The sequence below is a fragment of the Homo sapiens genome, chromosome 11, assembly GCF_000001405.40.
Source record: "Homo sapiens chromosome 11, GRCh38.p14 Primary Assembly".
NCBI lineage: Eukaryota > Metazoa > Chordata > Mammalia > Primates > Hominidae > Homo > Homo sapiens.
The window spans coordinates 22,265,921-22,278,527 of record NC_000011.10 but is presented as its reverse complement, the minus strand read 5'-3'; the positions used below and the strand labels follow the sequence as shown (position 1 = coordinate 22,278,527).

At 33.7% G+C, this 12,607-nt stretch overlaps 1 protein-coding gene across 15 annotated transcripts in view; it reads right to left on the bottom strand.

Annotated features, from left to right (window-relative positions):
* The window catches only part of ANO5 (anoctamin 5), a 90,885-nt gene that overhangs the window by 4,830 nt on the left and 73,448 nt on the right, over positions 1-12,607 (bottom strand). For all 15 annotated transcript variants that reach the window (XM_005252822.5, XM_047426522.1, NM_001441294.1 and 12 more), the window contains 4 exons: positions 8,086-8,216; positions 5,539-5,744; positions 3,781-3,959; positions 2,329-2,434 (listed from right to left, as the gene is read on the bottom strand). In XM_005252822.5, coding sequence (XP_005252879.1) covers positions 2,329-2,434; positions 3,781-3,959; positions 5,539-5,744; positions 8,086-8,216 — 622 coding nt within the window. The remainder of the gene's footprint in view (positions 1-2,328; positions 2,435-3,780; positions 3,960-5,538; positions 5,745-8,085; positions 8,217-12,607) is intronic.

Genomic DNA, 12,607 nt, shown 5'->3' with positions numbered 1-12,607 from the left:
AAAGAACCAGATATAAGGAAAGGAGTAAAAGAAAAAAGTAGAATTTTAAAAAAGATATTAATCCAGGTTTTCATAGAAAACAAATAATTAGAATTTCAAACTAGGAAGTGTAAATCTGAATAACAGCAGTTCCAGAGAGACAGCACAAAGAAAGAAAAAATTTATCAAAGACATTATCAAAAATTTATCAAAGAAATTATGCCAGCAAATTTTCTCAACTTGAAGGGTAAGTACGTTTTTAGATCTAAGGGGCTCAATGAGTGTTTAAAACAATGAATATTGACAAATAGCAAAGAACCATCTTGTGAAGCTTCATAAAAATGGGGCTAATGACAGAATCCTAAAACCGTATTGATTTTAAAAATAGATAATACACAAAGACTGGGGAGTCAGAATAGTATTGCATTTTGTAGCAATACTGGAAGCTGAATGAAAATGAAGCAATATCTTCAAAATTTCAGGAATACCAAAATAAAGTTGATTAAAAATTTTTTTAAGAAAAACAACTTTTAATTATACATTCTATTCCAAATAATCACATGTAAGGAAAGAAAAGAAATTTTCAATCTTCAATTTCTCAAAAATGGACTGCCCATAATTTTTCCTCAGAAAATTACTAGAAGATGTGCTTCACCAAAATAAGCTAGTAAACCAAAAATGGGAGAAACATAGATTGCAGAAAATTTAGTCTTCAATAGAAGACAAGATGAAGAGAAGTCCCAGGATGATGCTTGGTTGGAGCCTGCAATGATTACAAAAAATTAACACAAATAATAAATAAATTAAAACAAAAGAATTCCGGAAGTAATTTACTGGCTGAAAGGTGATCTAAACTTCTGACGCAAAATGTTGGAATGAAAGACTGATAAATTCATAAGGAACTAAGAGACAGAGGGAGAAAAGAAAAGTACAATTATAATAAAAGAAATATGTTCAGAATATAAGACAGGAAACAGATGTGACTAATATTTATAAAGTCATAATTTATAAACCCTGACTATTGTATTTATATAAAATCTCTTAATCAAAACTCTGATGGACAGAAATATTTCAGAATTGAGATTAAATATTAAACATATGTAATTTAGTGTATAAACCAGCAGGGTCTCAGGTGGCACTCTGTATCAAACACTTAAATATTTCTGCAGCAAAGTAAATGAATAGTCACACTAAAAATAATAAAGGCAGAATTAGATCATATGTTGCTGCTAAATAAATTATCAAAATACTTCCTGTTTTCTGAGGTTTTGAATTTCAGAATGAGACCAAAAAAATATGCTTTAATTATTGAGCAGTAGGAGAAAGTTTTTTTTCCCCCTCTCTCTTTCTGTCTGTGTGGGTGTGTGTGTGAGATCTGCCAAAGTAGAATGTCAGTAATTGATAGCTCAACCTAAAAAATAAAAATATATAACTGCAAAATGATCTTCTTTTGCCATACAAGGGCAACTACTAGAAGAATGAGTTAAAAAAATTGAGAAGTTTACTTTGGATATTAGGATTTTAGGGTAGGCAGGTATATTATGTACGATTGCTCTTTTGTTTTTTTCCCATGCAGAACTATTTGATTTTTAAAATTACATGTGAAACCTTGATAACAATAAAAAAAAACAGAAACTGGTTGGAATGGCATGTTCTTGGGTTAGGATTGTCTTTTATCGGGCTTTATTCCAGGGTGAAAAAGTACCTTTCTTTTATTTTCTCTCCCTGATAGGCCTTCTTGCCCTATGATTTGTATCACTCAATTTGAAACTTTGCCCAATACTGCCTCTGTATTGTTTACCTTTTCTTGCAGGCCTTATCTCTATAACTACACTAGATATTCCACAAGAGAGGAAGCATAATATAGTAGACAGAGCATAAGCTTGGGAGTGAGGCACATTTGGCATTGAGACTCAGCGCTAATGTTAGTTAGTTAACGTTAAGCCAGCTACTTATTTTTGCTGAATCTCAGATTCCTTTTCAAAGGTGAGCGATAAGGTCTAATTAACAATGTTGTTATGATTTAATACAGCCTCTGGAACTAGTAAGTAATAGGTATTCTCTAAAATCAGTGGGTTATTTCCCCTTTTCCTGACTTGAAGGGAAAAAAACCATATTTGTTTTCCTTTCCTTTTCTGTCACCATGACATGTTCAACAATAATAAGTGAATAATAGGCAATCCATTGTACTAAGAATATCCCTAAGGTGCTTTTTATGACTACAAATACAATACTTCCTTCAAGACAGTTTACTGAGATATTGCTAACTTTCTGATGAGAGGTTACCTTTAGAAATATCTGCCTAAAGAGAGAAGAGAGTAACTCGAATGAAAGTTAAGAACAGCTTACTTCCATAACAATGATGAAGGTCATCTTGGCAGCAAGGACATGCCAGAATTGCATATTATGAAAATATTTATTCTCGTCATCAGGAGGATATCTGTAATCTCTGTACCTGAAAAGTGGAAGTAAATGCAAAAAAAAAAAATAATAATAGTTATAGCTTCAACTAGAGAGACCTCACATAATTTCTTATTTCTCTTAACAGACCTTTCTAGTTGATCAGAAAAATCAGGTCAAAGTTAACTGATATTATGAAACATTTATCTTTCTTGTTCACATAAAGTCAGGGTATATGCTACTTATGTGCAAAATAGATCTAAGAAGAAATACACAAGAGGAACTTCTCTCTTGCCCTTCAAAGACAAGCTTCTCAAATGAGTTATTCAAAATTTGCTGCTTCCACTTCCTCTTTTCCCACTTCCTTAACACTCCCAGTCCTTTCCTTCTCTCCTATCCTTAAACTGCAGGTATATTTTAATCCTTTGATTTGACTTTCAAAAATAAGAATATTATATATAGGCCACTTCTATCTTCTTGGAACTCTATTTTCTCTTGGCTGTTCTGATGCTGTATTGCTTTGTTTTTCTTAACACAATTCTGAAGTTTTCTTAATGTTCAACTTTGTGAGTTCATTCTCTTCTATAAAGTCACTGGATACTGTCCTCCTCAAATATTTAGTCCAGCTAAGGGGTAATGACATCCAGAAATCTGACACCAGTGGCCATGCTCTTAAACACATTAGGCTATGATTTAACTATACTCAAATATGTAATATAACAATATAATAATGTCTGCTTGTCTTGCAATATTTTGCTCTTTTTTGTTTGGAGTCTCAAATGAAACAGCTGGTTTAAATTAAGTGGCCTTGATAAGCGTGTGTGTGTGTGTGTGTGTGTCTTTAAATTGTATGGTGAAAAGATCCCACAGTACATGATACACTGAGTGTAAAAACAGTAGGTTCACATATGCAATTTTATATTCCCTATACAGTATAAAACCTTTTAGTAGGATAGGTGGTGAACTGATCATATTATATTTCACTGTCTCACTCTCTTTTCTGAGGACAAAGATAAATTCAAGTAAGTTAAATGTATATACAATTTGACAATGTTGTATGATCTATAGATTATTGCAGCTTTGGACTAAGGGGCACTTGTTGGTGACAAATCCTTTTGATACATTAGAAAGTAAGAAAAAAGTTTGAATTAATGTTATCTTTACCCATAATCTTAGTTTTTGCCATTTTACCTTTACCCATAATCTTAGTTTTTGCCATTTTACCTTTTCAAATCTGAATCATGCAATGTGTGAATTCTAGAATGGATACACTTTATTTATACAGGATTTTTGTTGCCCTAAGAAAATCCTTTATATTGTAAGACAGAAAGGTAATAGATAACTTAAGAAATACGCTTAAGGGATAAAACTAAAACCTAAACAAACAAACAAACAAATCACCTGCAAGTGATGAAGTCTCGTTTTTCCGAAGGTGCAGTGTGGTTTGGAAAATCAGCTATCAGGAATACTGACAGGCTATTATTCACATATCCTGTCATAGGCTGTGTGGCATTTGTTGAGTAAGCATAGTAGTAAACTAGACGGGGAATGATGTCTGACGTAAATGCAACAATAAAGGCCTGAAGAATAAAAAAAAAAAGAGGAAGATCATCAGCTGCCAATTTAGTTTTAATAATGTCTGATTTGTACATCTCTCAGTACCATAAATTATATAGATGCAAAATGATTAAATACTATTATAAATCATAGTAATATGCAAGTCTTTGTCCTGAAACACAAAGTAGCTCATTTACAGTGTGTGATCAGTATTCCAAGATTTCATAGCTACAAAGTGGCTAAGTAGAGAGTCAGACCGAAATGTATCTGTCTCTACGAACCATGTTCTTTCCATCAAGGCTTTCTATTTCTTACATTTCTTATTGTTTCACAGCACAGTTCTACTATCTTTAACCAAATTAACTTTCTTAGACTAACTCAATGAGGTAGGACTGCGGGTGTGTGTGTGTGTGTGTGTGTGTGTGTGTAAGAGATTAACAGGAAAGGAATGAAGAAGCAGAATATCATGTGTTTGTAAATTTCTCACAGTTGGGTGCAATTAATTTCAGTATTTGATTCCATGGGAATGATAATTTTGTATCCTTTCCTAAGTTCTGGAATAGTATAAATAGCATATTTCTTTTAGATTAGATAAGTCAATTAAAAACCATCTGGCTCTGGCACTTATAATTTTAGTGCTACGCTTTAAAAAAAATCTAATGTAACTTCTATGGCTAATGGTACATTCAGGCTTTCTATTACTCACTGAATAGATCTGGCAATTTTTGCTTTCTAAAAAAGTGGTCATTTCAAATATATTTCAAAATTTATTGGAGTAAATGAGGACACAAGAGTCTCTCATACTTTTTTTCAGAGTTTTACTTACTTTGTCTTTCCAGTAAACTAGCTCTTGATTTACTTAGCAATTATACTGCTTTTTGTTTTCTAATTTGATTATTTCTGATTACATCTTTATTCTTTTTTACTACTATCAATTTGATTTACAATTTTTGACAGTGTCTTAAGTTATATACTCAGCTTATTTTCCAGTCTTCTTTTAATAATTAAAAATGTATGGCAATGGAGTTATCTGTAATAGTGGTTTTGGCTCATTCCTACAGGCTTTCATTTAAATTAAGCTCTATGATTTCAATTCTGTTTTCTCTTATAGGATGCCTACTTAAAAGTGTTAGATTTTCTTTTTGATTATCTTATTATCAACTTCAATTTATAAAGTATATTGTAGGTGAAAATGCATTGTAAAAGTTATGCTTTTGGAAATTTATTGTTCTTACATTTTAATAATTGTTTCATAAACACAACAGGTAAATGTATATTCTCTGTAGTATACAAATATAATCAATTTTTAATTGTTTTATTCAAACACATTATACTGTTACTTATTTTCTGTCTGCTTTGTCACATGCTGTGAAACTGTGTCATGATACTTCAATGAGAGTAATTTTATAATTGTCCTTGTATTTCTAAGAGTTTGCATGACATAGGTTTTTCTATATTGGTTAGCGCATAACAATTTCGGAATGTTTTAGCTTTATAAAGTATCACCATAATGAAATCATGTAAAGATTAAGCATCATTCACATCTCCCCACACCCCCCAAAATGAAATACAAAGTCACCCCACCGAAATAGGTCCACTTACATTAGTTGCAACAGAAAGGACAGCCATTCCATAAAGAATGTCTTGCCAAACACCTATGCTATGAGCTTTAGAAGCTACAGTTCTCCTGTATTGAGTGGTAAGTTTCCAGGCATCCACTCGAATCTCTACAATATTATTTATGAGAGCAAGAAGAGGAGCCAAAGGAAAAGAGGCCACAAATAGTGTAACAAATCCAAATTGAGTAACTGTAGAGAAAAGAAAAAGGCATGAACTCATTATTGTGAAGGAGAAAGACAGGAACACCCTGCCCAAATCCTGCTACTTCCTTCGTTTTGGAGTGATCCACACGAATACGACAATCCAGGCTTCCATCCGTCTGTCCAGTTCCTCCTCTACCACAGGAGGCACAGTGACTTACCTGCTTGCTAGAACTGGAAGGAGAAACTGGGCATGCATGGCTGAGTTCTTTCTTTGCTCTTCCTTTAGAGATATGCTTGTTACAAGGAAGATTCTATTCCTCTTTGCCTTTTATTATGGGCTAAGCTTAGGTTTATGCTTGTCTAGTCTTTACATCTATATTAGCAATTTAGTGAGGTAACCAAGTTTTTCTATCTTGCTAGCCCATCTAATTTTTGAGATCAGGAATGATGACTGATTCAGTTGTATAATCCCAGCAGCCAGCTGTGTGTGTGTGTGTGTGTGTGTGTGTGTGTGTGTGTGTGTGTGCCGGAAAAGGAAATATACATTTTCTAGAATAAGAAATTTGTTAAGGTCTTTATTCTCCTTACTATCATGACATCTTTCTAAATAAATTTTATTCTCTCTCCTCATTAAGACTCAACAGAGGACCACACCTGTGTAAGCTGGCTTATCTCCACATTTTTATTCTTTTGTTTCCAACAATGTTTAGGGTAAAATAACCCATGCTATTAACAGCCCAACTTTCCCACATGATTGAAGAAAAAAATAATAAGCCATTTAATGGAAATGGCTTTCCATTAAAGGAAAAAAATTTCCGTTATTCCTCCATTTTTAAATATATCTCAAATATTTCTGGAATTTAGCATCTCTCATCTGACTGAATCCGTCTTATCAAGTGAAAAAAATACATATTCACCTCCTTTTTTTCCTGCTTTCTCTACCTAACCTACGAGGTAGAAAATGAAGAGGAAGTATTATGTAGAAGCAGCATGAACTTTCTAGGTTCACATCTAATATCTTTACCTAAAATCTTTGTGGCCCATAAAAAATTTATTAACCTATGCAAGTTTCAGAATTCACAACAATAAAATGTGTAGAATAATGAATACTCTGCAGAATTGTTTCAAAATTAGAGATAATATAGTTTTCAGAATAAATTAATTATGTCTTAATAAGTGGTAAACAATCTTATGAAACCTTTGTTTCAACTTTTTAATTTCAGTAGTAATCTCTGATGTACATATGTGCAAACTCATTTGAAACTTACACAATTAAAAATCATAGCCTTATCACCTTATAAGGCAAAGATTATCTGATTTTACAAAGAGTTCTATAAAATAGCTTCTATTTGTCCTAAATTTATATTTCAATCCATGTATCACATAATGTATTACACTGGAGAAGTATGAAGAATTTTGGCTCATCTCATGTATCCTACCACGGTTTTATGGGCCTTGAAAGGTAAGAAAATTATTTTCCTGGCTGGGCGCTGTGGCTCACGCCTGTAATCCCAGCACTTTGGGAGGCCGAGGCGGGAGAATCATGAGGTCAGGAGATCGAGGCCATCAACATGGTGAAACCCCGACTCTACTAAAAATACAAAAATTAGCCGGGCGTGATGGCACGCACCTGTAGTCCCAGCTACAGGCAATTCTCCTGAAGCAGGAGAATCGCTTGAACCCAGCAGGCGGAGGCTGCAGTGAGCCGAGATTGGGCAGCTGCGCTCCAGCCTGAGCGACAGAGCGAGACTCTGTCTCAAACAGTTTCCTTAATTCTGCGAGAGAAACAGAGAAAGTTGCTTGAGGGAAAACGCTCTGAGCAGACCATATAAGCAGTTCCCCGAAAAATCTCTCTGAAAGCTGCTCCTCAAGGGTCTCTTCTCTGTTCAAACCTTGCAATGTTTTGGATGTTTCTTGTGTTCAGCTTATATTTCCCTTACACAATCGCTTTTAGCCTTATTTTTAGCCTCACAGAAAGGACATATACTAATTGCAAGTCAAACTCTGGAAATGTTTTCCAGGCTACTTATTCTATCTTTGAGCTGTCACTGAGGCAAACAAATGGAGAAATAGCCATCAAAGCGAATTTGAGATGGGTGTTAAAAAATGACTCTTACTTGATTTGGTTCAACAATATTAACATTCAATTAACAGGAATTATGTCTCTGAGATTGGTGTTTTGAAGCTAAACTTTATTCTGCAGTCTATTTGATGGAACAGGGAAATAGGGAACAAATTTTCTTTATATCCCTCCACTCATCTTTTTTGCCAACCAGTCAAAGATTTATTGAACACCTACCATGTGCAAGGCAGAAAGAAGTATCTGGAGCTGAAAAACCACTCATTCATGCCAACTCTATGTTTCAAAACAGTGGTTAAAAATTACCTGTTTCTAAGTACTCATAGAAAAGCCCAAGGGGTCCAAAACTTTCAAGGTCATGATCCTGCTCCCATCGACTATACAGCTTCTCAGAGTTTGTCCGAGCTTTTCGGCGTCTCCACCAATTCAAAGCCAAGCTGTTGGAAGTGATAAAAGTTAATATATGAAATAGGACCAAAAAGAAAGCGATCAGAGAATCAGAGTGTTAGATCTGGAAACTGGCAGAAATTAGAGATTAAATAACTTAAGATCACAGAGCAAAGAGAAATGACACCAGCCAAAGCGCAAGTCAAAATCTGGTGTTCTTTTCATGACACATGCAGAAGTCAAGAGTTCTTTATTAGGGTGATTGAGAAAATGAGACAATCTTTACTCTGCTCAGAGAAATATATTTACTCAGAGACAGTTTGGCTAAGGAATAAGTGGAGGAGAGAGTTACCACTAAGACCACTTACTAATCCTGATGCTGTCATGATGCTCAGAAGAAAATTCAAACAAATATGAAATTGACTATAATAGGAAATGACTTACATAATATGAAAATAAATGGAATAACATTAAACAAAATTTTAACCAACTAAATTCCATGCTATATAAAAAGATGATATATTATGATAATGTACCACTTTTTTTAAAAAGAGGCTTTTTAAGAAAGAAAAATTAGCAAATCAATAAATATATCACATTGACTGGTTTGAGGTGAAAAACATAAAATCATCTCAATTGATGCAGAAAAATGCATTTGATATATTTTAAGGACCTATTAAAACCTACTTAGGAAAGAAAAGTAGAAATAGAAAAAAATTATTTCAGTCTTATCAGAAATATCTACTAAAATCCTAGGGCAAACTCTTTCTTTCTCTTTCTTTCTTTTTTTCTTTCCTTTTCTTTTTTTCTTTCCTTCCTTTTCTTTTTTTCTTTCCTTCCTTTTCTTTTTTTCTTTCCTTCCTTTTCTTTTTTCTTTCCTTTCTTTTCTTTTTTCTCCTTCCTTCCTTCTTCCTTTCCCTTCTCTTCCCTTCCCTTCTCTTTTCCTTCTCTTTTTTTCTCCTTCCTTCCTTCCTTTCTTCTTTCCTTCTTCCTTTCCCTTCTCTTCCCTTCCCTTCCCTTTTCCTTCTCTTTCTTTTTTTCTCCTTCCTTCCTTCCTTTCTTCTTTCCTTCTTCCCTTCTCTTCCCTTCCCTTCCCTTTTCCTTCTCTTTCTTTTTTTCTCCTTCCTTCCTTCCTTTCTTCTTTCCTTCTTCCCTTCTCTTCCCTTCCCTTCCCTTTTCCTTCTCTTCCCTTCCCATCCCTTCCCTTTCCTTTCCTTTCTCCCTTCCTTTCCTTTCCTTTCTTTAATCCCTCCCTTCCTTCCTTGCTTCCTTCCGTCCTTCCTTCCCTCCTTCTTTCCTTTTCTCTCTCTCTCCCTCTCTCCTTTTTTCTTTCTCTATGTCTGTCTTCTTTCTTTTTTGAGACAGGGTCTCACTCTGCCACTCAGGCTGGAGTGCAGTGGTGTGATCACAGCTCACTGCGGCCTTGACCTTTTCTCCTGCCTCCACCTCTCAAGTAGCTGGGACTAAAGGCATGTGCCTCCATGCCTAGCTAATTTTTAAATTTTATTCCACATGACGGGGTCCCATTATGTTGCCCAGGCTGGTCTTGAACTCCTGAGCTCAAGCAATCCTCCCTCCTCAGCCTCCCAAAATGTTAGGATTACAGGCATGAGCCAATGCACCAGGCTGCAAACAGCATTCTTACTTGGGAAAAGTCTGAAGCATTTCCTTTAGAATCAAGAACAAAATAAGCACTTGCATGATCACATTCAAGATTGCTGGAGATCTTAGCCAGTAAAATAAAATAAGAAAGGCAAAATATTTGGAAATAAAGGAGAAATCTGTGATTATTAACAGTGATGTGATTGTCTGAATAGAAAACCCAAGTGAAGTTAGACAAAAATGAGTAGAAACAATATTAGGGTTTATTAATATATTTCATTCCTATACACCCACAACACACAAGTAGAAAACATATATATTCTAAAAAGATATCATTTACAATAGCAATTAAAAAGTACCTAGACACTGATGTGACAAAAGATTTATAAGACCTATATGTAGAAGTTTAAAATATTTATTAGAATTCATTAAGGTCCAATTTAAATGTTGACGAGTAAGAAGGCTCGGTATTATTAAAAAAAAAAGTCAACTGTTTATATTGAAACAATTAAAATATAATTTCAATGAAAAAGCCAAATTATTTTTCCATGTAAAATCTGACAAGATGTTTATAAAATCTATATAGATTGATAAAAGACCAAGAATAGCCAAGACAGTTCTACAGATAAAAAATAAGTTGATAAATGTTGCCCCACCAGATATCAAGATTTAGAAAGCTATATTAATTAAGAGATTGTAGTACTGTATTCACAATAGCAAAGACATGGAATCAACCTAAATGTCCATCAGTGGTAGAGTGGATAAAGCAAATGTGGTACACATACACCATGGAATGCTAGGCATCCATAGAAAAGAACAAGATCATGTTCTTTGCAGGAACATGGATGGAGCTGGAGGCCATTATCCTTAGCAAACTAATGCAAGAACCAAATACCACATGTTCTCACTTATAAGTGGGAGCTAAATGATGAAAACAAACAGACACATAGAGGGGAACAGCAGACACTGGGGCCTATCAGAAGGTGGAGTGTCAGAAGAGGGAGAGGATCAGGAAGAATAAGTACTGGGTATTAGATTTAATACCTGGATGATAAAATAATCTATACAACAAACCCCCATGACACAAGTTACTTGTGTAACAAATCTGCACATGTACCTCTGAACAGTTAAAAAAAAAGAGAGAGATTGTTGTACTGGTACAGGGATAAACAAATCTTGGGATAGAGTGGAAAACTTGAAATAGCCTTGCACTTGGTATAATTGTAGATAGATTTTATATATATATATATAATTGTAGATATTTATATGGTATGTAGATAGTGTTTATATGGCATAAAAAGTATTGTAGATAATATTGTATGTAGATGAAGAGTATTGTAGATGATGGAGCATACGAAAAAGGAACTTTTCAATAAATGGTAATATAAGGATTTATACAAATATATAGTTTATACATATATATACACATATATGTAAAAAACAGACTTGTATCTCATATCAAACGTAAAAATCCCATCCACGTATATTTAGAATTTGAAAGTGAAAAACAATAATGTTAAAATGTATAAAAAATTTAGAAGTAAGTATATGAGAATATCTTTGTGTATGTGTGTGTGTTTCCATATAACTTTTTATCAGTACATCTGCATATCCAGTATTTTGCCTAGGACCTTACTTTTTGCATAACTTTAACCGATATAGTAAATAATAATGAAAATGTCTTATAATCCTGGGTAGGAAAATATTTCTTAAACAATTCTTTAAAAATGCTAACACATAAAATAAAAGATTGATAAATTCTACCACATTAAAGTTATGTAATTTTGTTCATCTAAAGCCGTGGTTTCCAACTGGGAGTAATTTTGCCCACAATGACACAATTGCACTCTCTGGAGATATTTTGGTTGTCCCAACTGGAGAGGGATGAGTTACTGGCATCTAGTGGATAGAGTCCAAGGATGCTGTCAAACATCTTACAATCCAAAGGATAACCCACACCCCACAACTAAGAATTATATCAGTAATTCTGTGGTTGTGAAACTGTGACCTAAACATATTATTAAAAAATAAAAAGATAACATTTATGTTAGAATAAAATATTTTCAACATATATAACCAAAAAAGAAGCAAATAAACAAAAACCAGTAACCAGAAGTTTAAAAGTATTCATAGAAATAAATTGAAAAAAGATTGACAAGTAGGAAAATGGTTAAACAACATGAACAAGCATTTAATTGAAAAGGAAACAAATATGGCCAAAAATACTTATTCATGTTGTTAATCAGAAAAATGCAAAATTAGACTAAAATGAGATATCATTTATAACCCCCAGTTGGCAAAAATTAATAAGACAATATGAAGTACTGTAGCAAATGTGGATTAAGAGGAACATTTGTATATTGCTTATACTCAAACCAAAACACAAAGAGGAAAAATGAATGATGTAAAGAGGAAAAAGCACCTGTGATTTCTGAGACACTATCAAACAGACGAGCATACTCTAACTGGAGTCACAATGGAAAAGAGATCACTCAGTTCAAGAAACAGAACATGGCTAGAAATTTCGGAAGCTCTTTCATGTGCTTCATTCCATTTATAAATTCTTCAATCCCCACATCCATAACCATTATCTTAAATTTTATAATAATCACTTCCTTGCTTTTTAAAAAATAGTTTTGTCTATGATCCATTTTGAGTTCATTTATGAATGAGGAGCAAGTTTCACATAGAGTTTCATTATTTTGCATATGCGATGTCCAATTTTTCCAACACCATTTACGAAAAAGACTACTCTTTCATCAATGAATTGTTTTTGCACCTGTCTTAAATTAAATGGTCATATTTGGCTAGAGCACAAATTTCTGTAATATCTGTTTCT